Source organism: Homo sapiens, chromosome 12, assembly GCF_000001405.40.
Source record: "Homo sapiens chromosome 12, GRCh38.p14 Primary Assembly".
Taxonomy (NCBI): Eukaryota; Metazoa; Chordata; class Mammalia; order Primates; family Hominidae; genus Homo; species Homo sapiens.
Genome location: NC_000012.12, coordinates 10,109,467 through 10,136,233, shown reverse-complemented (window position 1 = coordinate 10,136,233; position 26,767 = coordinate 10,109,467). Strand labels below are relative to the sequence as shown.

Below are 26,767 nucleotides of genomic sequence, written 5' to 3'. Positions count from 1 at the left end.
TTATTAAAGATTAATTTATATGGAATAGTTTACAGTACCCATTCTCAATTTTGCATTTCAGGGACTATTAAAGGGAAGAACAAAGGCCTCTGGAGGGGGGTGCTGGGAAGAGCAGATGCTCTGTGCCCTGGCAGTGAGTCCGGCTCCTTTAAGGAAGTACTAGAGACCTGCCAGGTGTCAGTTTATTTGATGGCAACTAAATGTTAAAAGCAAAGTCACAAAGAAGAAAGGAGGAGCATGGGCTTGGCAATTGGGAGCTGGGGATCCCTGGCAGGGAAGGTGGGAGAGCTATGAATGACTACACCATCTAAAATGAAGCATTTGTAAGTGTTGTGAGTAAAGCTAAGTAAATTTGGTGCTTCAGTCAATCCAAGGGATACCGAAGTAATTTTTTTTACATGTCTTTCTTCCTCAAATATAATGAGAAATCAATTAGGATTGGGATTGAGCCTCAGGTTTGTGAATATAGTAAATATTCAGTAGATATTTAATTGTTAATGGATGAATAGAGAAAACAAGGAAAGGAAGGAGGCAGAGAGTCAGAGAAGAGGAAGAGAGGAAAGAGGCCCAATTTAGCATTCAAATTGGAAGAGAAATTTGATTTTTTTTTAATTGGGAAGGTACTTTGAAATGTTGCTATCTTCTGAGGACTGAACATGTTTTTCTGCAGTGGTTCTTAAGTTTAATGCTTAGTTTGGTTTTAATAATCTTGTTTTCTTTGTTATTTTTATTATTTTTTTGAGACAGAGTCTTGCTCTGTTACCCAGGCTGGAGTGCAGTGGCGCCAGCTTGGCTCACTGCAACCTCTGCCTCCGGGGCTCAAAGAAACCCTCTCACCTCAGCCTCCCAAGTACTTTGAACCACAGGCATGTACCACCATAGCTGGCTAATTTTTTGTATTTTTTTTTTTGTAGAGATGGAGTTTTGCCATGTTGCCAGGCTAGTCTCGAACTCCTGGACTCAAGCCAACCACCTGCCTTGACCTCCCAAAGTTCTGAGATTACAGGCATGAGCCACCGTGCCCAGCCATAATCTTTTCTATTTAATTCATGTATCCATTTATTTCTATATATTCACATGTTTACTTATTTCTCTTCATTTATTTGTATGAATTTTCCAGAAAGTCACATTAGACATATACAAAATAGATATTTGTTTGAAAAGAATGCTATTTTTTGAGGTTTAATTCTGAGAGTAAACACTACTACTTAATGTATATAGCAGTGAGTGAGCAGACTGACTCAGCTATTCTTTTATTTTTTATTTTAACAGGTTTTGGGGAGCAGGTGGTGTTTGGTTACATGGATAAGTTTTTTAGTGGTGATTTCTTATATTTTTGTTGCACCCATCACCTGAGCAGTGTACACTGTACCCAATGTGTAATCTTTTATCTCTCACCCACCTCCCGCCCTTCCCTCCAAGTCCCCAAAATCCATTGTATCATTCCTATGTCTTTGTATTTTCATAGCTTAGCTCTCACTTATAAGTGAGAACATACAATGTTTTGTTTTCCATTCCTGAGACTCAGCTATTATGAATTCGGTTCTTTCAGCTATTTTATTGATGTAATATTCAATCTACCTCTGGGTTTCATTAATTACAATTTTAGTTTATAAAATGTGTTTTCCACTTCTAAGAACTCTTCTCAGATTGCTCATTTTTCTTTTTTCTCTTTCTTTCTTTTCTTTTTTTTTTTTTTTGACAGAGTTTTTGCTCTTGTTGCCCAGGCTGGAGTGCAGTGGCACGATCTTGGCTTACTCTTGGCTCACTGAAGCCTCTGCCTCCTGGGTTCAAGCAATTCTCCTGCCTCAGCCTCCCAAGTGGCTGAGATTACAGGCATGCGCCTCCACGCCTGGCTAATTTTGTATTTTTAGTAGAGACGAGGTTTCTCCATGTTTGTCAGGCTGGTCTCGAACTCCTGACCTCAGGTGATCTGCCTGTCTCTGCCTCCCAAAGTGCTGGGATTACAGGCATGAGCCATTGCACCCGGCCAGATTGCTCATTTTTCTTGGATGACCCACTTGTTTTATAGATGAAAGTTTTCAACAAACTTCACTGAAAATGTAAGTTAGATAACTGGTTTGTTTTTTGTCTTTTCTTTTGTTAGGTTGGTTTGTTTCCACCTGTTTCTTTCCTTTTTTTTTTTTTTTTTTTTTAGATGGAGTTTCACTGTTGTTGCCCAGGTTGGGGTGCAGTGGCACGATCTTGGCTCACTACAACTTCCACCTCCTGGGTTCAAGTGATTCTCCTGTCTCAGCCTCCTAAATAGCTGGGATTAAAGGCACCTGCCACCCCACCCAGCTAATTTTTTATATTTTTAGTAGAGATGGGGTTCCATCATGTTTGCCAGACTGATCTCAAACTGCTGACCTCAGGTGATCCACCTGCCTCAGCCTCCCAAAGTGTAGGAATTACAGGCCTGAGCCACCATGCTCGGCCTTCCACCTGTTTCTTGCATTAACATTTAATGAGGGGTATTTTTCTCTGAATACCCAGCCTATCTCTCCCACTGTCTTGAAATACGAAGGGTATTGTTTTTCTAGTTTGTCAATGATTTGCATAATTAATGTTTAATTGCTTTATTTTAGACAAAGAGACAAAAAAGGAGAATAATGAGAATTAGACTAAAGTTTATGTTTATTGAAAAATTTCTTTGACCACTTAGAGAGTTAACTGTTTTCATAGGATTGTGATTAAACACAGGGTGACAGTCAAAGTCACTATAGGGAAAAACTCTCCCACTGGAGGTCTGATTTGATAGTAAAGACAGCTTCTTATTACTGACTGCAAGGTACTCCCCTCATTATTGTTCTCTAGTTCTCTATTTCTATTTAAGAGGTCGACCCTTTTTCCTGGAGCCAATGTATTCACTGTTTGAGAAATTCCATGGTATCCCTTTGTAGGGGTGAAAGATTCCTTTTCCTCACTCATTGCTAGGTTCACGGCATCTACAATAAAACATAGATCAACAAGAGAATAGCATCCAAATTTATTTAATAGAAGTTACCTGAACAAACAGGCCTTGTTAAGTTCTACTCAGCTTATTACCATTAGATTATACCCTTTTGTTCTCCAGTCATACTTCTGCATAACTGTCCGTAGAAATACTCAGTTTTCCCTGCGTCTTCATTTCAGAAGGCTCTCTTGTCGTATAACATTTACATGCTTTTGTTTTGTTAATCTGTCTTTTGTTATAGGGGTCTCAGTCACGAACCTGGTGATGGGCAAGGAAAAGATACTACTTTTTCTCCCCTACGTTGGACAAGGAGGGTATGATCTAATGCTAATAAACTGGAGGGAGCTTAGCAAGACTAATTTGTTCAGATTCTTCTTGGCATCTCTGTATCTTCAAAGATAAGGAAGTTTCTTTCCTCTAGGAAACAATACTTCTAAAATAAGGGTCTTATGATCTGCTTCAGGGCAGAAAGACGGGGAAAGGTGTGAGAGTGAATTTCCTGATTCTGCTGTTTTCTCAAATGCCAAGAATCCATATTTTGGGGTTGCATGTCCTGAACCTCATACGCTGCTTTCCAAGCACTGCATTATAGGACTGAAACACTGATGAATGTTGAGATTAAGATCCACATTACCACTTTGCAACATGTCTACAAAAACTTAGTAAAACTTTTGTGGCAGCTTAAGTAAGGCGGGAAGCTCATTTATGTACTCTCTTGAGCTCTCTTCCATTTTGATAGGTGTTAGACTGTCAGAACTGCAGAGCCCTCATCATATAACAACTCCTCCCAAATCTCTGCACTAGAGACTTGGCAAACTCTAGCACGCCTTCTAGTAGCCTAAGGCAAGGTCCATAGGATGATTCAGCACTACTTAAAAGGCCAGCCTGAGGAAGCCCAATGCTGCTAGGAGAATTTACTTTTTGTTCCAGTTAAAACTTGTTAACAGGCCAGGTGTGGTGGCTCATGCGTGTAATCCCAGCACCTTGGGAGGCCGAGGCGGGCGGATCACGAGGTCAGGAGATCGAGACCATTCTGGTTAACACGATGAAACCCTGTCTCTACTAAAAATACAAAAAATTAGCCAGGCATGGTGGCGGGCGCCTGTAGTCCCAGCTACTTGGGAGGCTGAGGCAGGAGAATGGCGTGAACCCAGGAGGCAGAGCTTGCAGTGAGCCGAAATCGCGCCACTGCACTCCAGCGTGGGCAACAGAGCGAGACTCTGTCTCAAAACAACAACAACAACAAAAAACTTGGTAACAGATAGGCTCCTGAATTCCTTTTAGAGCAGTTACTTTAGAAATCTTACAGTTAGGCCAGGTGCAGTGGCTCACGCCTGTAATCCCAGCACTTTGGGAGGCCGAGGCAGGCGGATCACCAGAGGTCAGGGGTTCAAGACCAGCCTGACCAACATGGAGAAATGCTGTCTCTACTAAAAATACAAAATTAGCCTGGCGTGGTGGCACATGCCTGTAATCCCAGCTTACTCAGGAGGCTGAGGCAGGAGAATCGCTTGAACCCGGGAGGCGGAGGTTGTGGTGAGCCGAGATCGTGCCATTTGCACACCAGCCTGGGCAACAAGAGCGAAATTTCGTCTAAAAAAAAAAAAAGAAAGAAAAGAAAAATAAATCTTACAGTTAAATTCTTTCTCTGCCCTTTGAGAAGCAAATCTACCACACAGAACTGTTTCTTCAAGGACTTGGGAGCTGTTTCTTTGAAATGCAAACATTCAGGGAGATAAATCTTGCTCTTTCTTTCAGATGCAGCATAAGGACCAACTTAGCTGGGTGCTTCACTTCAACTATCACCATGTCCTTCTGTCATATAGATAGGCAAAGTTTCTCTGTCCTCTGGATAAGGGCCAATTAACAAATCCAGAGAGTCTAGTCACATTAACTTTCCTTAACACCACTCAGTATCTTTTCCTTAGCAAACTCCACTTTAAAATGTCATCAGCTTTACTTTTGGGGAAGTTGAGTTCAGTTAATGCTGCACTGGTTCCTGTTGCAATAGTATTACTGAATAAAACCTGTCCTCACCACATTAACTAGTATCCAGATTTGTTGATCCTTGACAACACTCAGATGTCTCCTGCACTCTACTGGCTTCAAGGTCGGATAAATGAGTTGAACACCTCTTCAGTTTCCAGCAATGTTAGGTGTTTTCTATATTTCTTTGATTTGATCATTACTATGGAAACTGGAAGAGAGGGAAAAAAAATCAAACATCTAACATAATATTTCAGTCCCAACACCTTCCATAAGCTGTTCCTTGCAATATAAGTGTATGGAATGATGAAAGAGGCAGTGTAGCGTAACAGAAAAGACCACGAGTTTTGCAGCAAGAGTCAGCTTTGATTTGATTCCTTGCTCTAAATTTTTAAAATTAGCTTCTTAAACCTGAGAAAGAGGCTAAATTTTCTGTCTCATTTTTTCATTTGAAAATAGAAATAATAATGCCTACTATATAGACTTGGAAAAGTGAGATTGAACAAGAAAATATGTACAACATGTGGTACTTAGCTCATAGTAATTGTTCAATAAATGTTATTTTGTGTTAATATCTGATAATTCCCAAAGAGATTTGTTTTCTCTGTCTGTTGTTACAACAATGCATCTCCTCATGCCATCCCTCATTTACCTATCTATATATTTCCTTTATTAAGCAATGAGTTTCTTCATAGGTATCATTTTTCCTTGTATTGTAAGCTCCTACCAATTGAAAAGGTGGGCATCCAGTACCTGTTTATGTAATTTAAAAAATACATGAATAAATACATGAACAAAGTTATGGTAAACTTGGAGCACCAAAACTGAAATAGTTTGCATCGGTTAAATTAATTAATGTCAGACTTAGTTGTGAGAGTAATGAAGGCAGCATAAGACATTAATGTATGCATTTTTCTTACATTTGGTCTGAAACAAAGACTCATCTGCTATGCTGCCTTTTAGTTTTCCTGAGTCAGCAGTCTCAGAAACAGGATCTAAAGGTACAAATGGAAAATTACCACAGCATAGTTTCATTTCCTGCTCTTGAATATCTGGTTGAACTACTTAAGCTTAATTTGTTAAACTCCGGTAAGTACCTAGCCCACATGATTTGACTCAGAGATTCTCTTTTGTCCACAGACAGTCATCTCAGGAGCAGAAAGAAAAGAGCTCCCAAATGCTATATCTATTCAGGGGCTCTCAAGAACAATGGAATATCATCCTGATTTAGAAAATTTGGATGAAGATGGATATACTCAATTACACTTCGACTCTCAAAGCAATACCAGGATAGCTGTTGTTTCAGAGAAAGGTATATATATGTTTTTTCTAATGTGTGCCTTTAGCTCTCCCGTTTGAAAAGATATAAGGGGAGGCTAGGCATGGTGGCTCACACCTGTAATCCCAGCACTTTGGGAGGCCGAGGCGGGTGGATTGACTGAGGTCAGGAGTTCGAGGCCAGCTTGGCTAACGTGGTGAAACTCTGTCTCTACTAAAAATACAAAAATTAGCCGGGCATGGTGGTGCACGCCTGTAGTTCCAGGTACTTGGGAGGCTGAGGCAGGAGAATCACTTGAACCTGGGAGGTGGAGGTTGCAGTGAGCCAAGATCATGCCAATGCACTCCAGCCTGGGTGGCAGAGCAAGACTCCATCTCTGAAAAAAAATAAAAATAAAAACAAAACAAAAAGATATAAGGGGAGAAAATTTGAGAGCCTCGTGATGTGTATATTTTTATGGATATACTTTTAAAGGCTTCAGATGTCACTGAAGATAAATTGAATGCACCCTAAACCTTTTTTCATGAAAATTATTCAGTGACCAATTATTAGTGTTTAAATTAATTATGTCTGATGGCAGAAAATAGAATTTCTCTTTTCTATAGATATAGACATTTCATCAGTGAGGAATTGGTAATAAGTGGGATAATACACAAAGATAAAGGATTTCTGTATGAGTGACTTGTTGCTTGTTTGATAGAAAGGCTAGATTATCGAATGGAGGCCAGGAAACTTAAAGAAGTATATATATGAACAACATTTTTTTTTTGTGGTAAGAGATTAATTTAAATTGTTTTTAAACAAAAAACAATTATTGGTATACCAGTGATGGAAAATATATGAACATATGGTAGATAAAAACATCCCACCAGCAGGACATGAGTCTTAAACAAAGTGTAAATGAAATGAAATAGAAAGAAGGGCATTGGAGGATCTCTGTATTCATAGAATGGGTGATTTAGCCTACTCTACGATTCTCCTATGTGACAATTCTATGAAATGTCCTGACAGCTTAGTCACAGTGGAAAGCAGAAATACATTCTGGTTATGGCAATGTTCATACAAAATTAGTTCCCTATTATCTTTGAGAGAGAGAGATCATTTGTCGGTTTTGACACCAGAGTTTGCTTTCTTCTGCTTTCTGGTTATTCACACTGCACAAATATTTTCCTCTCAGCACTGATGTAATTCTTTTCTTGGGCAACCTATTGAGGAAGCGTGGAAAAAGTGGATGAGGCAAGAGGTAGGGAGACATGCGCATGTTTATGCATATGTGTAGGCAAACGGTATCCTGCAACAACACACCTATCATGTGCTAGCAGTCTCTAAACAAGGTGCTTTTATATGTGTTAGCTCGTTTAATTCCCGCAATAATCCTTTGAGATATTATTACCCCAGTTTCACAAAGAGGAATAAAAAACAACAAAGGGAGTAATTTGCCCAGGGTCATGCAACAAACATATGAAAAGGGAAAATTACCCTTAGTAATCAGTGCTATCTCCCCAACATTAAGCTATTTCCTCTAAGAATCAGTGGGATTTCAGGGATCCTACTAATGTCAAGACCTGTAGATGTCAATGTGGAACTGAAATTAGGAGCATACAGTTATCAAGCCAATGTGCCGAAATTACAATTCCAGCAATTGAAGAAGAAGGTATCCTTACTGGTGGAGAAGCACAGCAAATCCTAGGTGACCAGGTAACCTAGGCAGTGATTAATAATTCACTTAAAAATTTGCCAGTATTTTTTGTTGTTGTTGTTGGTGGTGTGTGTGTGTGTGTGTGTGTGTGTGTGTGTGTGTGTGTTTTAACAGGGTATCACTTTTTTGCCTATGCTGCTCTGGAATTCCTAGGCTCAAGTGATCCTCCTGCCACAGCCTCCAGAGTAGCTGGGACTACGGGAGCTCACCACAATGCCCAGCTAATTAAATTTTTTTTCTTTCTTTGTTTTTCTTTTTTTTTTTTGGTAGGGACAGGGTCTCCCTGTGTTGCCCAGGCTGGTCTTGAGCTTCTGGCCTCAAGCAATCCTCCTACCTCAGTCTCCCTTCTGGGATTACAGGTGTGAGCCACCGTGCAAGGCCAGATTTTTGATGAACTGTAGAATTAAACTGCCCCACCATCCGTCATTCTCTTTCTTTATTCCATTTCTGCCCCCTCTGGCTCCTCAGGATCGTGTGCTGCATCTCCTCCTTGGCGCCTCATTGCTGTAATTTTGGGAATCCTATGCTTGGTAATACTGGTGATAGCTGTGGTCCTGGGTACCATGGGTGAGTATTTGGTGGAGGAGATTAACAACAGACAATTTAGTAAGCAATTATTATGTGCCAGGCACTCTTTTAAGGGCTTGACATGCATAATCTACTTTAATTTGTATATAATCTGGTTTTATCTGTATTGGGTTGGTGCTGTTAATGCCCATTTCACTTATAAAGGGTGTGAGAGACTGAGAGGTTATTTTACCTTTCCAGGGTTATAAGCTAGTTAGTGGTGGGACCATGATTAGAAATTTGGGTGATCTGTCTAAAAAACTCATACTCTTAACTACATTGCTCTCCTACCTCCCTTACATAGCTGGTTTCAAAGCTGTGGAATTCAAAGGATAAATTAATGAAGAAAACAAGCGGAGCTGAAGAAGAAAGTACAATATGGTGCTGTCTTCCTAATGAAATAAATTCACTAAATGGACATTAAGCTATTTTTATGATTCACATTATTTAAGGAAATTATTTCCGATCTTTAATATAAACACCTTTGAATACACCAGAAATTTCCTGAGGCACTTGGTCTTAAGTCGATATTTTGTAATGGATTAATATTTTTTTTACATTTTATATCACATGCAATCTGTTGTCAGTCACCTTCAGAGAGTCTTCATGACATTCCTTAATTAGTCAAATGTTTATTGAGTGCGTTCTATGTTATAGGTACTGGGCAGTTTCTCAAGGATCTCTCATTTTTAAATAACAGAAGAAAGGTGAAAGATGTTGCTATTTCAAATCTGTCATGGGTCCAATTGACTCTATGACATTTGCCTCTTGCTGCCTCCCTCATTCTATTTCTTCTTCTCCACCTTCTTTTTTCTTTTCTTTTTTTTTTTTTACTATACCTCCTTTATAAAAGTTATGTATTTCTTTTCATCTATTCTATCAATCGTCTTTATCTCTCCACAGCAATATATCATCTATTTATCATTAATCAATAATGTATTCTTTTATTCCAATAACATTTGGGTTTTGGGATTTTAATTTTCAAACACAGCAGAATGACATTTTTTCTGTCACTATTATTATTGTTGGTATGTGAAGCTATTTGGAGATCCAATTCAGGAAGCAACACATTGGAGAATGGCTACTTTCTATCAAGAAATAAAGAGAACCACAGTCAACCCACACAATCATCTTTAGAAGACAGTGTGACTCCTACCAAAGCTGTCAAAACCACAGGCAAGGGCATAGTTAAAGGACGGAATCTTGACTCAAGAGGGTTAATTCTTGGTGCTGAAGCCTGGGGCAGGGGTGTAAAGAAAAACACTTAGATTCAATGATTGTAAATTTAAGGCAAATACACATATTAGTATTACCTTAGTGTAATGTATCCCTGTCATATATACAATAAGGTGAAATTATAAGTACCCTATGCAGTTGGCTGGACAGTTCTAAATTGGACTTTATTAATTTTTAAAATCAGTAACTGATTTATCACTGGCTATGTGCTTAGATCTACAGGAGATCATATAATTTGATACAAATAAAAGAAAAGTGTTCTCTCCCCTTACAGAATTGACATTTTAAATGCGATACAGTTAGAATAGGAAATATGACATTAGAAAGGAAGAATGACAGGGAGAAAGGAAAGAAGGGAAAATGTTGCCAAGAATAAGGAAGCTATATTAAAAATATACAAAAGAGGTAGACCTAATACACATGTCCCTGAAAACTCATCAAATTTGTTTAATCATACAATTTCATTTACTTAATTACAATTCTATACACACTTGACTTTTACTTCTAATTGCATCATAATTGACTATGACTTAATGTTTTCAGTTCAATTTTTCATCTCTGGACCCATACCTTCTCACTATTTTTATTAAGTAGCTAATAATATATAACAGAGATAGTGTATAATATGAATAATTGGCCTATACTTTTCTCACTTGGAAAGTCACATTATGAAGTAGATCTTACATCATAAAATAAGTAGCAATATGAAATTGCTGTGTACCTCAATGACTGATTGTGAGTGGACTTATTTTAAGGAGTTATTAAGGAGAAAGGTAGTTTTGAGCTGAATTAGAAGGAATAGAAGACAAGTGAAGAAAAAAAGGATGGTTGGCTGCCTAAAATACTATTTATAGCTAGTTTGTTTTTAAATTTTAAATGAATAGGAAGATTTTAATGTATTCTCATCTGTAAAATCATATCCCTGTAGTTCGAATTGACAATGAAATATAAAAATGGCAACTAATTGGTTATTTCATAAGTGTCCTTAAGATGAATGGTGTTCACACTAAAAGAGTGAATTGGTATGCTATGAACCTCATGGTACTAATCTTTTATTTCCAGGGGTTCTTTCCAGCCCTTGTCCTCCTAATTGGATTATATATGAGAAGAGCTGTTATCTATTCAGCATGTCACTAAATTCCTGGGATGGAAGTAAAAGACAATGCTGGCAACTGGGCTCTAATCTCCTAAAGATAGACAGCTCAAATGAATTGGTAAGTGTAGACTTCTGTTATGATTATCTGTGGTGTGTATCCTGAAGGAAGATAGAGGGAGATTCCAGGTAATGACAATTTTTCCTAAAATGAAGTCTTTTTTTTTTTTTTTTTTTGAGGCAGAGTCTCACTCTGTTGCCCAAGCTAGAGTGCAGTGAAGCCGCGACATCCCAGGCTCAAGTGATCCTCCCACCTCAGCTTCCTGAGTAGGTAGGACTACAGGGTGCACCACCACACTCGTCTAATGTTTTTTTGTATTTTTCATAGAGACGAGGTTTCTCCATATCATCTGGGCTGGTCTCAAAATCCTGGGCACAAGCGATCTGCCTACCTCGATCTCCCAGTGTTGGGATTACAGGTGTAAGCCACCATACTTGGCCAAAATTCATTTTTAATATCTCTATAATTATAATCATAGCATGCCTTAAGCACATAAAGTGCATAGTATATGCTTTTATTTTTAACTAATTTAAAAAACTGTGTTTCGCCTTAAAACAAATCCTTTCAAACATACTCCATGTATGCATGACTACAATAATCAGGACACTACCCATTTTTGTGAGTTTGTATTTCAATTTTTAAATATGGTGGAAGTAAAGTAGAAAATTCTTCTCCTTGTCATCATAATTATCAAGAAAAATGGCAACAATGATAATATATGTTTAGAAATTATTTACTCTTTGCAAGATACTGGGAAAGGCAAAGAGGGTTAAAACATAACCCTGCTATCACAGGACACATATAATCTTTTAAGTAAAAAAAAAGCAACTCAGCAGCTATTAAAAGTTAAATATCTGGCATTAGCAATAAATTCTATAGGAGTTTAAAGAGATCCCCGTGTTCCTAAGAAGTTTTCAGAAAAAGTGGCACTTATAACACATCATGAATGAAGGGTAGAGCTTCAATGAGGTAAGATAAGGGGTTAATAGGAAAAATTCTATGTTATAAATCTAAACCAGTCTATAACTTCTACACCTACTTTCACTATTCTTATTTTGTTTTTGTTTCTGTAATGTCTTACCCAGTAGTAATAATTTATATTAAAGTTAATGGAACTAGATATATGGCAAAGAAAGAGTACTGGATTACAAGTCTATCTGACTTTTAGGCCAGCCTATAATTGAAAATAAATTGTTATAGATTTGTAAACAATTCAGATATCTTCACTGAACCTCAGATTACATATTCATAAAATATACAGTTGGACTAAATTATTTTTAAGTTGTTACCTAACTCTGAGAAGTACTTCTTAACGAAAGTAGCGTCAATTTATTTCTTCAATTGGAGGAGAAGACAATGGCTAATCATCCATGAAAACTGCCTAGGGGGACTGTCATCTGGGATTTTGTCAGATAGGTTGAATGGAGGCAGTACAGTCCTCACATTACAAATCTATTCTTTTGGAAAATTAAATGATAATTACTTTAAATAAATAAGATAGGCCTTTTGAGACATTCAATGACATTCAAAAATTGGCACTTCTCTCTAGGTTGATGTCAGGTTAGGCATGCATTCTTTTTTTTTTTTTTGAGACGGAGTCTCGCTCTGTCGCCCAGGCCGGACTGCGGACTGCAGTGGCGCAATCTCGGCTCACTGCAAGCTCCGCTTCCCGGGTTCATGCCATTCTCCTGCCTCAGCCTCCCGAGTAGCTGGGACCACAGGCGCCCGCCACCGCGCCCGGCTAATTTTTTGTATTTTTAGTAGAGACGGGGTTTCACCTTGTTAGCCAGGATGGTCTCGATCTCCTGACCTCATGATCTACCCGCCTCGGCCTCCCAAAGTGCTGGGATTACAGGCGTGAGCCACCGCGCCCGGCCTTGCATTCTTTACCAAAGTGATTCAATCAGTTGTCTTTTTCTCAGCGTCCATGATAATAGTTTCTTTCTCTCTCTCTCTCTCTCTTTATTATATATTTGTATATGTTTCATTACAGGGATTTATAGTAAAACAAGTGTCTTCCCAACCTGATAATTCATTTTGGATAGGCCTTTCTCGGCCCCAGACTGAGGTACCATGGCTCTGGGAGGATGGATCAACATTCTCTTCTAACTTGTAAGTGTTTGGAGAGACAATGCTTCATCCTTTTTCTCAGAGAGGTTTCCATCTCATCTATGAAAACCTCTGTCGAGCAGCTAAGAACCTGATTTGCTCACCATATATGAGAAAGAGAGGGAGAAAGATATAGAAGAAGAGAAAGAGTGAACTAGGACAAGAGGAGAAAGATGAGGAGGACCTTAGAGTGAAAAAGAGTGAGGCCATCTAGTAGCATCAACACAGATATTCTTCTGGTTTTCTTACTAGGGAGGCATCGACATGTTTGAAGTTGTCCAGGCAAGGAGCAGTCACTGTCAGTCAGTGTAACTCCCCGGTTAAGAGCATGGGTTTTGAAGCCAGGCCTCAGTTTGGGTTAATGATTACCCCACTCACTGATTGTGTGACACTGGGGATAAGTCACTTTTCCTCTCTGAGTCCCATTTTCCATAAACAAGAATAGAAAGGTGCTCTTGGCCAGGTGTGGTGGCTCACACCCGTAATCCCAGCACTTTGGGAGGCCCAGGTGGGCGGATCACTTGAGGTCAGGAGTTTGAGACCAGCCTGACCAACATGGTGAAACCCCACCTCCACTAAAAATTTAGCCGGGTGTGGTGGCATTGCCTGAAATCCCAGCTACTCAGGAGGCTGAGGCAGGAGAATTGCTTGGACCTGGGAGACAGAGGTTGCAGTGAGCTGAGATTGCACCATTGCACTCCAGCCTGGATGACAGAGTGAGACTCCAGTGAGACTCCAACTCAAAAAAAAAAAAAAAAAAAAAGAAAAAAAGAAAGAGTGCTTTCCTCTTAGAATTGTGAGATGGGTATAAAAGTAAAATAATTTAGCACAGTGTCTTGTACATAGTTAATGTGTGAGACTTATTATTAAGTTAAAAAGCAACCACATTTTCACATTTTGCATTTTAGAAAGATATTTTAAACGTATTTCACATTTGCCTGATGATACATTATTCCTTATTATGTGGTTTCTGTCACTGCTGTTGTCATTCATTTGCTTTTTAATATCTGCAGAATATGAAATATGTCTCTTTTAAGTTCTTATTATTAGTGTGTGTGTGCACACCTGTGTGTGTTTTTTCATCTGTCTCAGTAGGAGTACCGTTCAATTTGGTTTTTCAAAGAAAGTAACTTTTGACTTTGTTGACTCTGTCTTTTTATTATTTCTTTCATTAACTTTTATTCTAATCTGTATTACTTCCTTCCATCTAATTTATTTTTATTTTATTTTGTTTTATTTTTTGAGACAGAGTCTCACTCTGTCACCCAGGCTGGAGTGCAATGGCGATCTCGGCTCACTGCCAGCTCCGCCTCCCGGGTTCACGCCATTCTCCTGCCTCAGCCTCCTGAGTAGCTGGGACTACAGGCGCTCACCACCATGCCCGGCTAATTTTTTGTATATTTAGTAGAGACGGGGTTTCACCGTGTTAGCCAGGATGGTCTCGATCTCCTGACCTAATTTATTTGTTTTAAATTTGCTATTCCATCTCAAACTTCTCGTATTGGGTGCTTGCCTCATGAATTTAAGCCTTCCTTTATCTCAAGTATGTAGACTTAAGGCTATAATTTTAATGTATTTTCATTGTCTTTCAGTTCAAAATACTTTCTGATTTCCACTGTGAGCTGCTCTTTGACCCAGGAGTTATTTAGAAATGCATTTCTTAATTTACAAACATATGTGTTTCTGGTTATCTCTTTGTTTTAGGTTTCAGGCTTAGTTCCACTGTGATCAGAGAACATGCTCCACGTGCTTGTAGTTCTGTGATTTTTACGTGCTTCTTCCTCTTTCCATATGAAAAGAATTGTGTTGAAATCTTCCGCTGCGATTCTACTTACAGTTCTGTAAACATTTTATTCGATGTGTTGAAGCCGTGTTATCAGGCACATAAAGATTTAGAATTGTTACTTTTTTTCCCCTTTCTTTCCTCCTTTTTGGACGATTTAACACTTTTTCTTATTCTGTTTTTTTTTTCTGTTCATTTGGAATGTGCTCTTTCATGTCTTTTACATCTCTTTTACTAATCTTTTAGTAGTTGTTCTAGGAATTACACATGTATACTTCACTCATCAAAGACTAACATTAACTGACATTTTTATGTTCTTCCTGACCAATATAAAAATCATAGAGCATTCCTTTACTCTGTTGACTCTCTCCTCAATTTATATGCTATTATATTAATGTATTTATTTTTATTTATTTATTTTTATTTTATCGCCCAGGCTGGAGTGCAGTGGGGCAATCTTGGCCTACTGCAACCTCTGCCTCCTGGGTTCAAGCGATTCTCCCACCTCAGCCTCCTGAGTAGCTGGGACTACAGCTATGCGTCACCAGCTGGGTGTGGTGGTGGACGCCTGTAATCCCAGCTACTCAGAGGTTGAGGCACCAGAATTGCTTCAACCCGGGAGACGGAGGTTGCAGTGAGCCGAGATCGCACCACTGCACTCCAGCCTGGGTGACTGAGCCAGACTCAGTATTAAAAAAAAAAAAAAAGAAAAAGAAAAAAGAAAAAACTAGCCCTTGGGCCGGGCGCGGGGACTCACGCCTATAATCCCAGCACTTTGGGAGGCCGAGGCAGGCGGATCACTTGATCTCTGGAGTTCGATACCAGCCTGGCCAAAATGGTGAAACCCCATCTCTACAAAAAAAAAAAAAAGATATAAAAATTAGACAGACAAGGTGGCGCACAGATTTATGCAGTTAGTATTCATTTCAATTTGCCCACATATTTATGATTTTAGTTGTTTATTTCTTTCTTCCTTTCCAACTGTACATTACAGGTATTTTTTCTTAAGACTGATATTTCCAGTAAGTATAGAATTAGAGGTTTGTTGTTTTTCCTCTCAGCCACTCAAATATATTATTCCACTGTTTTCTATTTTTTACTGTTGTTTTTGAGAGGTCATCTGTTTGAAGGTAATATATGTTTTAAAACTAATGTGTTTACTCAGCACTGAAAAATTCTCAGCCATACTTGCTTCATATTTTGCTTTTCCCCATCTTTTTTCCCTTCTCCTGGAATCCCAGTTACATTCATTACAGACCCATTGACACCATCCTATATGTTTCTTTTGCTTTTTCCTGTGTTTTCATTCTTTTTTAGCTTTTTGCTCCAATCTATGTAATAACCTTTCACATATCTTCCGGTCATCTATTTTTTCTCATCTGTGGCTAATCTACCATTAAAAGCCTCTATTAAGTCTTTTATTTTGTTTGGTGACATTTTCAGTTTTATAATTTTAGTTTAGTTCTTTCTCAAATCTATTATTTCAACACGTATACTTCTACTTTTTCTTCCAACATTCTTAGTATTGTCTTCTAACTTTCAGAATACACTAACCATAGTTGTTTTAGCTTGTGTCTGATAATTCCAATTTTCTATATGTATCTGTTTCTGTTTGTTTTTTTTTTTACTATTTTTCTTTTGTGTTGATTAGTTTTCTCTTATGTCAGATTGCTTTTTATAGTGTTGTTAACATTTTATCTTAAAATCTTTGTAGAATTAATTTGAAGTGTTTTTTCATTTGCCTCTGTTCTCACCACCAGGTCTGTTCACCCAATAGTGTGAACAGTACAAACTGCTGAGCATAATCACTTAACTGTTTTACTTCTACTAGGCTAAGTACAGTGAATTTATTATCAGCCAAATGTATTTTCTACTTTCTTATAGTACTTGTTTGTCTTGAGTTTTCTCTTGCTATTTTAAATGTATGACTAGAGGACTCTTTCTATAATCACAAGTGGGCCCAAGTTAACATTTTGATATGTTACTACTTTTTTGTTTTCCGGGTGGCATTTATTTAATCTAGCTGTGTCTATGCCCCCAAAACACTTATAGGTCAAGGAAAATTTTTAAGGAATAATGCTGGTCAGAGTTCTCCCTGAGGTCTGAATCTAAGTAGTTAATCTTAGCCTTAGTCATCGCTAAAGCAAAGTTTTCTCAATCTTCCAACCTCAGGGTCAAGAGGGAGAGATACATAACCAGGACAAAGAGTGCCAAGTCATAGCTTTTGCACTGACGGTCAGTGATGCTCTTTGAGCTTGACTCATTAACACTGCTACTTAAGGAGATTGAAGACCAAACTGAACAGGACCATGCCTGCATTTAGCAGTGTTGATTTCCATAACTGTCAAGCATTGTATTGTAATATAATTCTGCTTCCAGGATACATTAAAATATACAGAGTTGTTTGCCCTGCCTTTAAATGGCCTGGGCATCTCTGATTCTCTTTTTAGTTCTAGATCTGTTTTAGCATTAATGCTTCTGCTTGGTCTACTCATTAAGTATATCCAGTAATAATTTAATTAAACTGTTACTTGATTTGATAAAGAAACATTTAAGTAATAGGCTGAAAGATATATAAAGAACTTTTTATAGAATATTAAATGATTTTTCTTCTTTGTCAGGAACTTTTTTTTTAGTTTATGCAGCTAGTAGCAGTTCTTGAAAAAAAATTAAGTCGTTTTTCTGCCTTAATAATGGAGACTATTCATTTAACCACTTGAGATTCACAACAATTTAGATTTAAGCCTCCTTTTCCAATAATAGAAACACTTCAGAACTCTTTTCACCAATATCCTTACTAATTTATTTGTGCGCCATGTAGACAGTATTCCTTAACATTTGTTCTAATTACCTCACTGTATTCTATTTTAACAGATTTCAGATCAGAACCACAGCTACCCAAGAAAACCCATCTCCAAATTGTGTATGGATTCACGTGTCAGTCATTTATGACCAACTGTGTAGTGTGCCCTCATATAGTATTTGTGAGAAGAAGTTTTCAATGTAAGAGGAAGGGTGGAGAAGGAGAGAGAAATATGTGAGGTAGTAAGGAGGACAGAAAACAGAACAGAAAAGAGTAACAGCTGAGGTCAAGATAAATGCAGAAAATGTTTAGAGAGCTTGGCCAACTGTAATCTTAACCAAGAAATTGAAGGGAGAGGCTGTGATTTCTGTATTTGTCGACCTACAGGTAGGCTAGTATTATTTTTCTAGTTAGTAGATCCCTAGACATGGAATCAGGGCAGCCAAGCTTGAGTTTTTATTTTTTATTTATTTATTTTTTTGAGATAGGGTCTCACTTTGTTACCCAGGCTGGAGTGCAGTGGCACAATCTCGACTCACTGCAGCTATCTCTCGCCTCAGCCCCTCAAGTAGCTGGGACTACAGGTGCATGCCACCATGCCAGGCTAATTTTTGGTGTTTTTTGTAGAGACTGGGTTTTGCCATGTTGACCAAGCTGGTCTCTAACTCCTGGGCTTAAGTGATCTGCCCGCCTTGGCCTCCCAAAGTGCTGGGATTACAGATGTGAGCCACCACACCTGGCCCCAAGCTTGAATTTTCATTCTGCCATTGACTTGGCATTTACCTTGGGTAAGCCATAAGCGAATCTTAATTTCTGGCTCTATCAGAGTTGTTTCATGCTCAACAATGCCATTGAAGTGCACGGTGTGTTGCCACGATTTGACCCTCAACTTCTAGCAGTATATCAGTTATGAACTGAGGGTGAAATATATTTCTGAATAGCTAAATGAAGAAATGGGAAAAAATCTTCACCACAGTCAGAGCAATTTTATTATTTTCATCAGTATGATCATAATTATGATTATCATCTTAGTAAAAAGCAGGAACTCCTACTTTTTCTTTATCAATTAAATAGCTCAGAGAGTACATCTGCCATATCTCTAATAGAATCTTTTTTTTTTTTTTTTTTTTTGAGACAGAGTTTCGCTCTTGTTGCCCAGGCTGGAGTGCAACGGCACGATCTCGGCTCACCGCAACCTCCGCCCCCTGGGTTCAAGCAATTCTCCTGCCTCAGCCTCCCAAGTAGCTGGGATTACAGTCAGGCACCACCACACCCGGCTAATTTTGTATTTTTTTAGTAGAGACAGGGTTTCTCCATGTCGGTCAGGGTAGTCCCGAACTCCTGACCTCAAGTGATCTGCCTGCCTCGGCCTCCCAAGTGCTGGGATTACAGGCGTGAGCCACTGCACCCAGCCTAGAATCTTGTATAATATGTAATTGTAGGGAAACTGCTCTCATAGGAAAGTTTTCTGCTTTTTAAATACAAAAATACATAAAAATACATAAAATCTGATGATGAATATAAAAAAGTAACCAACCTCATTGGAACAAGTATTAACATTTTGGAATATGTTTTATTAGTTTTGTGATGTACTGTTTTACAATTTTTACCATTTTTTTCAGTAATTACTGTAAAATGGTATTATTGGAATGAAACTATATTTCCTCATGTGCTGATTTGTCTTATTTTTTTCATACTTTCCCACTGGTGCTATTTTTATTTCCAATGGATATTTCTGTATTACTAGGGAGGCATTTACAGTCCTCTAATGTTGATTAATATGTGAAAAGAAATTGTACCAATTTTACTAAATTATGCAGTTTAAAATGGATGATTTTATGTTATGTGGATTTCATTTCAATAAAAAAAAACTCTTATCAAAAAACCCATGGCCTCTAAATTATGTGCCTGTGTGTCACAATCACTATTACAATTTGCCCTCTCCCCAAAAATGATGATGAATTTGGTATGGGTGGAGTGGATATTTATAGTAGATATTTTGATATTAAAGCATTAATTCGCGATCTTAAAAATTTTAAAAACCTAAGAGAAGATAAAGATCTTTGTGAGGTTTACTATTGTTGTTTAATATGCAAATTTGTTTTCATTACTTAAAAACATGTAGAAAGGGAAGAGATAGATAGGTGCAGCAAACCACCATGGCACATATATACCTATGTAACAAATCTGCACGTTCTGCACGTGTATCCCAGAACTTAAAGTACAATTAAAAATACATACATAAATAAATAAATGATGTAATGTATAATAAACATAAAAAAAGAAAGGGAAGAGATAGATCAGGCTGAGAACATGAGGAGTATGGTTAACTGTTTTAAGTAGTTAAAGCATAGGATGGAGTTTGGAAGAGATATCTAGTATTTTAATTTTGGTTTTGTTTTGATTCATTCCTCCTGGGTCCCCAGGATATAGTGGATGACTCCAAGAAATTATGGTAATCAAGGTAAATAACTGGATGCTGAAGATCCAGCTGTACTAATCTAGTGAACAGACAGGCCAGGCAACCTAACCCATGACGTGGGTATCACGAAAGTGACGGTGTAAAGTAAGATTGCTCTACGTTGTGCAAGACATACAGTACCTGACCTGTTGAGACACGTTTATATCACAGCTTATATGGAAATATACGTTAATAAACAGAAAACATCCACCCTTTTCCAAGAGACAGAAAACATCCACACTTTTCCAAGAGACAGAAAACATCCACACTTTTCCAAGAGACAGAAAAGGTGAAATAGCTGCTAGCCGAACCTCAGTCTGAAAGTTAAATTCGAGATGAGTAATGGTCACACCAGAGGACATGCTCAGGGGCCACCATGTTCACTTGTTTGGCTTATAGCAATAATTTTTGAAGTCGTCTCTGAGCCTTCACCCTCACCCTCTACAGTCTATTTTCAAACAAATCAGAGTGAGACCATTAAATTTAAATAAAATCATGTCGGTTCTCCACTTAAAATTCTCATCAACTTCTCATGTATCTCAGAGTAAAAACAAAGCAACATAAAAAAGAAATACCTTTGTAATTATCTATAAGACGCTACATATTCTGGCCCTCTTAACTTTGAGCTAATCTCCTACTTCCTTCATCTTTACTCACCGCACTCAGGACGCCGGCTTCTCTGTTGTTTCTCAACCATGTCAGGCGTGCTTCCACCTCAAGGTATTGGTGATTCTTATCTGCTTTACCTGAATGATCCTTTTATTTTTTTGAGACGGAGTCTCGCTCTGTGGCCTAGGCTGGAGTGCAGTGGCGCGATCTCTGCTCACCGCAAGCTCCGCCTCCCGGGTTCCCGCCATTCTCCTACCTCAGCCTCCCGAGTAGCTGGGATTACAGGCGCCCGCCATCACGCTTGGCTAATTTTTTTTTGTATTTTTTAGTAGAGACGGAGTTTCACTGTGTTAGCCAGGATGTTCTGGATCTCCTGACCTCATGATCCGCCCGCCTCGGCCTCCCAAAGTGCTGGGATTACAGGCGTGAGCCACCGCGCCCGGCCTGAATGATTCTTACCCGACAAAGCTGCAGGGCCTGGCCTCTCACCTCGTTTCCATCTCTGCACAAACATGACCTTCTTAATGATGCTTACTCACATAACTATTTAAAGTTACCAACCCTTTTTCCCTACATTCTTCATCTCCCTTACCTCTGTTTATTTACCATAGCATTTATTATAGTCTAATATACTCTACTATTTACTTATTAGGTTGGTGCAAAATTGCGGTTTTTGCCATTGAAAGTATATAGGATAAAAGTAATGGCAAAAACCGCAATTACTTTTGCACCAGCATGATACTTATTCTCTTTCTTGTATATTGTCTTCCTCTTTCTTATCTATCTGTTTCTTATATATCGTCTGCCTTTCTCCGTAGAATATAGTCTCTAAAAGGACAGACAGCTTTGCTGTACATGGATGTATCCAACAGTCTGAGAATAGTACTTGCCATACAGTCGATAGTCAAAAATATTTTTTGAAAAAAAAATAAGCTTTTAAGGAAAAGTAGTATAAATGTTAATGTAGGTTTTTTATCAAAAATTATTAGGAATATACTTGAATAACTGAAGCTTGGGAAATAGTTCTAATTGCTATTTTATGAGAATCATAATTACAGGCACCTTCTAAGTGCCTTTTTTTCTGATCCTAGCTGTTGTAATTTTTAACACTGTATCTCTGTTTTATTCAATTATGGGCTTTACATAACTTCATCTTCACAATTTTGACTACCTTCTCTTTTATATGGCTCTCTGATATCCAACCCAATGCAAACAAACAATTTTTGATTTCCTACTTCTTACAAGGCACTGTGCAAGAGGAAGATATTTTTATTTTTATTTATGTATTTTTTATTTCAATAGATTTTGGGGTACAAGACGTTTTTGGTTACATGGATGAATTATATAGTTGTGAATTCTGATTGTAATGCACCTGTCACTCACCTGAGTAGTGTACATTGTACCCAATATGTAGTTTTTTTTATCCCTCCCCCTCCCTTTTCACCTCCTGCTTCTGAGTCATTATATCACTCTGTATGGATTTGCCTACTTACAGCTTAGCTTCCACTTGTAAGTCAGAGCATACAGTTTTGGTTTTCCATTCCTGAGTTACTTAGAATAATAGTCTCCAGCTCTAACCAAGGTGCTGCAAAAGACATTATTTCATTACTTTTTATGGCTGAGTGGTATTCCATGGTGTACATATACCACATTTTCTTTATCCACTCATTGGTTAATGGGCACTTAGGTTGGTCCCATATCTTTGCAATTGTGAATTCTGCTATTATAATCATACACGTGCAAGTGTCTTTTTCATATATAATGACTTATTTTGGGGTAGATACCCAGCAGCAGGATTGCTGGATTGAATGGTAGATCTATTTTTAGTTCTTTAAGGAATCTTCATACTGTTTTTCATAGAGGTTGTACTAATTTACAGTGTATAAGCATTTCCTTTTTACCATATCCATGCCAACATCTGTTGTTTTTTTGACTTTTTAATAATGGCCATTATTGTAGGAGTAAGGTGGTATCTCATTGTGTGGTTTTAATTTGCATTTCCCTGATAATTAGTAATGTTGAGCATTGTTTCATATGTTTGTTGGCTGTTTGTATATCTTCTTTTGAGAAATGTCTATGTATGTCCCTTGCTCACTTTTTCATGGGATTATTATTTTTTTCTTGCTGATTTGTTTGAGATCCTAGTAGATTCTGGATATTAGTCCTTTATTGGATGCATATATGTTTGCAAATATTTTGTCTCATTCTGTGGGTTGTCTATTTACTCTGCTGATTATTTCTTTTGCTGTGCAGAAGCTTTTTAGTTTCATGAAGTTCCATTTATTTATTTTCATTTTTGTTGTATTTGCTTTTGGAGTATTAGTCATAAATTCTTTGCATAGGCTAATGTCCAGAAGAGTTTTTCTGATGTAATCTTCTGTGATTTTTATGGTTTCAGTTCTTAGATTTAAGTCTTTGATCCATCTTGAGTTGATTTTTGTATAAGGTAAGAGATTGGGATCCAGTTTCATTCTTCTGCATGCGGATTGCCAGTCTTTTCAGCACCATTTATTAAATAGGTTTATGTTTTTGTATGCTTCATCAAAGATCAGTTGGATGTTAAGTATTTGGCTTTATTTCTTTTTTGTGGCGGGGGGGGGTTAAATTTTTATTTTAAATGCTTGGATAGCTTCAATATCCAGGTTGTGGCAAAATCAGGACACATGTAAAATACCTTACATTAGATTCCCCAAAGGTACCAAAAAGTACAGTAAAATTAACACTTCCATTACAGGAAATGTATGACATAAATAATATAAAATGAAAAGCTGACACTGGTTTCCTGAGATACAATTTACTCTTTACAACCAGGGTCCACAGGACCAGGCTGCAGAGTGCGGCAGCAGGAAGCAGAGACTGCCATTTTGTTCTGGGGGACCTGGTACTAAAAGTCAGCCCATAATGCCCCTCTGGCCTCTCAGACACCACACGCTGCCTAAATAACTAGAGTTCTGGAAATAGTAAACAAGAGAGTGATTTCCATGGGGGAAATTTTAAGTAAGATGCACATGGGGCAAGCCATAGAAAGTTTGTCAGGTTAAATTTGGTACATAATTGTGTTCACTCCATATCCAAACACAACATGTGTGCGGTCGGTTGGTCTCTCCTGCTGCTGCTTCAGTATGGCTTGTAGGTATTCTGATGGCCACCATGTCACTGGCTCTTGCTGTAGTTTGTACTGCCCTGACCTCCACCTCCACCACCACCTCCGCTGCCTCGGTTCCCTCGGTTGTGGTTTCCACGGTCCCCAGAACCATACCGCTGCTGCCAATAAACTTCTTTGGGCTAGGCCACCGTGATCTCACGCTTACTTCCACTGATAGTATGGAACTTTTTCTCCAGAACTTTCTTCACAGGTTCTTTTTTAAAGGTGATAAACACAAAACCTTGTCTTTTGTTCAACTTTGGATCCACTGGAATTTCAATGGCCTCGATCTCCCCAAACTCGCCAAAGTACTCCCTGATCTTTTCCTCAGTGGCTTCAGGATTCAGACCCTCGGCGAAGATTTTCTTCACCGGGTCCTTCTTCATAGCCATGGCCTTTTTAGGGTCAATGACACGGACATCCAGCCTGTACTCCTTCTGGTCTAGGACCTTCTCCACATTGGTTGCATCTTTGAACAGGATAAACCCAAACCCTCTTGCCCGTCCAATGTTGGGATCCATTTTTATTGTACAGTCAATGACCTCTCCAAATTTAGGGAAATAGTCTTTTAAATCTTTTTTGCTGGTATCCCAGCTCAGGCCACCAACGAGCATTTTTGCTGCGTCCTCCTCGTTCTTGCTGGCGTTGATCTGTTCGTCCTCGGCGATTTTTGATTTTGATTCCCGCTCGAGGGCGCTGCGGTCGCTCCGACGACTCGCCCTCGGGGCGGCCTGGGTTCTCGTTGGCGCCAGGCGTCTGCAAGGACATGATAGGCCGAGTCGCGGCGGCTACTCGCCCACTTGTCCCCACCCACCGGGGAAAGCGCCTTGGGCTCGGCTGTGCTCCAGCTCGCGCTGCTGAGGTCTGGCCTCCGCCAGCTGACTTCAACTGCAACTGCAACTCCTCCTCCTCAGCCGCCGCCTCAGGGAACCCACCGACCCACAAACCAGCTCCCGCAGGGGCGGTGCCGCTGCCTCCTTTTCGTTTTCTGTTTTTGTTTTTGTTGTGTTTTTTGTTTTTGTTTTGTTTTGTTTTTGGAGATGGGATCTCGCTCTGTTGTCCAGGCTGGAGTGCAGTGACACAATCTCAGCTCACTGCTGCCTCCGCCTCCCAGGTTCAAGCGATTCTCCTGCCTCAGCCTCCTGAGTAGCTGGGATTACAGGTGTGCACCACCACATCCAGCTAATTTTTGTATTTTTAGTAGAGAAGGGGTTTTGCCATCTTGGCCCTGCTGGTCTCGAACTCCTGGTTTCAAGCGATCTGCCTGCTTCGGCCTCCCAAAGTGTTGGGATTACAAGTGTGAGCCACCTTGCCTGGACATTCGGCTTCATTTCTGAGTTCTCTTTTCCTATTCCATTGGTTCATGTGTCTACTTTTATAGCAGTACCACGCTGTTTTGGTAACTATAGACTTATAGTAAAATTTGAAGTCTAATTATGTGATGCCTCCAGATTTGTGCTTTGTGCTTAGGATTGCGTTGGCTATCCAAGCTCTTTTTTGGTTCCATATGAATTTTAGGATTGTTTTTTCTAGTTCTGTGAAAAAATGATGATGGTATTTTGATGGAAATTGCAATGAAGCTGCAGATCACTTTGGGCAGTATGGTCATTTTCACAATATTGTTTATTCCAATCCATGAGCATTGGATGTGTTTCAATTTGTGTCATCTATGATTTCTTTCAGCAGTGTTTTGTAGTTCTCCTTGTGGAGCTCTTTCACCTCCTTGGTTAAGTATATTCCTAGGTATTTATTTTTGCAGCTGTTGTGAAAGAGTTGAGTTATTGATTTGACTCTCAGCTTGGTTGTTATTGGTGTATAGCAGTGCTACTGAATTGTGTACATTGATTTTGTAACCTAAGAGTTTACTGAATTTGTTTATCAAGTCTAGGAGTCTTTCAGAGGGGTCTTCAGAGTTTTCTAAGTATACAGTCATATTGTTGGCAAAGAGTGACAGTTTGACGTCCTCTTTACCAATTTGAAGGCCTTTTATTTCTTTCTCAAGCCTGATTGCTCTGGCTAAGACTTCTAGTACCATGCTGAATAGAAATAATGAAAGTGGGTATCCTTGTCTTGTTATAGTTCTCAGGAGGAATGCTTTCAACTTTTCCCCTTCCGTATGATGTTGGCTGTGGCTTTGTCCTATGTGGCTTTTATTATTTTGAGGTAAGTCTTTTCTATGCTTAGTTTGTTGAGGGTTTTTATCATAAAGGAATGCAGGATTTTATTCAATGCTTTTTCTGCATCTATTGAGATGATTGTATGGTTTTTGTTTTTAATTCTAATTATGTGATGTATCACATTTACTGGCTTGCTTATGTTAAACCATCCCTGCATCCCTGGGATGAAACACACTTGATCATGATGTATTATCTTTTCATATATTTCTTTTTTTTTCTTTTTGAGACAGAGTCTCATTCTGTCATCCAGGCTGGAGTGCAGTGACATGATCTCAGCTCACTACAACCTCCACCTCCCGGGTTTGAGTGATTCTCCTGCCTCAGCCTCCCAAGTAGCTGGGACTACAGGCATGTGCCACCACACCTGGCTAATTACTGTATTTTTAGTAGAGATGGGGTTTTGCCGTGTTGGCTGGGCTGGTCTCAAACTCTTGACCTCAAATGATCTGCCTGTCTTGGCCTCACAAAGTGCTGGGATTACAGGCATGAGCCACTGTGCCCAGCATTGTACTATCTTTTTGATTGGCTGTTGGATTCAGTTAGCTAGTATTTTGTTAAGGATTTTTACATCTATGTTCATCAGGAATATTGGTCTGTAGTACTGGTCTTTTTAAAATTATATTCTTTCCTGGTTTGGGTATCAGGGTGATATTGGCTTCATAGAATCATTTAGGGAGGATTCCCTGTTTTTCAGTTTCTGAATAGTTTCAGTAGGATTAGCATCAATTCTTTGAATTAATGATAGAATTCAGCTGTAAATTCATCAGGTCCTAGGCTTTATTTTGTTGGCTTTTTTTTTTTTT

The 26,767-nt window shown here is 38.7% G+C and overlaps 1 protein-coding gene, 1 long non-coding RNA gene and 1 pseudogene across 14 annotated transcripts, besides 1 other annotated feature; 1 reads left to right on the top strand and 2 right to left on the bottom strand.

The window, feature by feature from the left end:
* Positions 1,676-2,496: an enhancer, noted in NCBI's record as "NANOG-H3K4me1 hESC enhancer chr12:10286337-10287157 (GRCh37/hg19 assembly coordinates)". NCBI's record gives its function as "activates a minimal SCP1, AML or CMV promoter by ChIP-STARR-seq in primed H9 embryonic stem cells {active_cell/tissue: H9 hESC(primed)}" and the evidence as "EXISTENCE:reporter gene assay evidence [ECO:0000049][PMID:30033119]".
* On the bottom strand, positions 2,620-20,871 carry LOC105369655 (uncharacterized). Of its 2 annotated transcripts, XR_007063208.1 has the most exons (4): positions 20,691-20,871; positions 4,994-5,153; positions 4,442-4,549; positions 2,620-2,948 (listed from the first exon to the last, which is right to left on the bottom strand). It is a non-coding gene; the product is annotated as an uncharacterized LOC105369655 (long non-coding RNA). The 2 variants fall into 2 exon arrangements; XR_931352.3 differs by lacking the exon at positions 4,442-4,549 and having other exon boundaries at positions 20,691-20,839.
* Positions 5,930-19,457, top strand: CLEC7A (C-type lectin domain containing 7A). Of its 12 annotated transcripts, none has more exons than XM_047429359.1 (7): positions 5,930-6,031; positions 6,137-6,254; positions 8,389-8,487; positions 9,526-9,663; positions 10,786-10,937; positions 12,871-12,989; positions 17,644-19,457. In XM_047429359.1, exons 2-7 carry the CDS (start codon positions 6,152-6,154, stop codon positions 17,774-17,776), a joined length of 744 nt encoding a protein of 247 aa, XP_047285315.1. In that variant the 5' UTR covers positions 5,930-6,031; positions 6,137-6,151; the 3' UTR covers positions 17,777-19,457. The 12 variants fall into 12 exon arrangements, 11 of the variants coding, with proteins under 11 accessions (XP_047285315.1, NP_922938.1, XP_006719198.1 ...); NR_125336.2 differs by lacking the exon at positions 5,930-6,031 and adding an exon at positions 11,061-11,147 and having other exon boundaries at positions 6,035-6,254; NM_197947.3 differs by lacking the exon at positions 5,930-6,031 and having other exon boundaries at positions 6,035-6,254.
* On the bottom strand, positions 23,563-24,493 carry HNRNPABP1 (heterogeneous nuclear ribonucleoprotein A/B pseudogene 1; annotated as a pseudogene).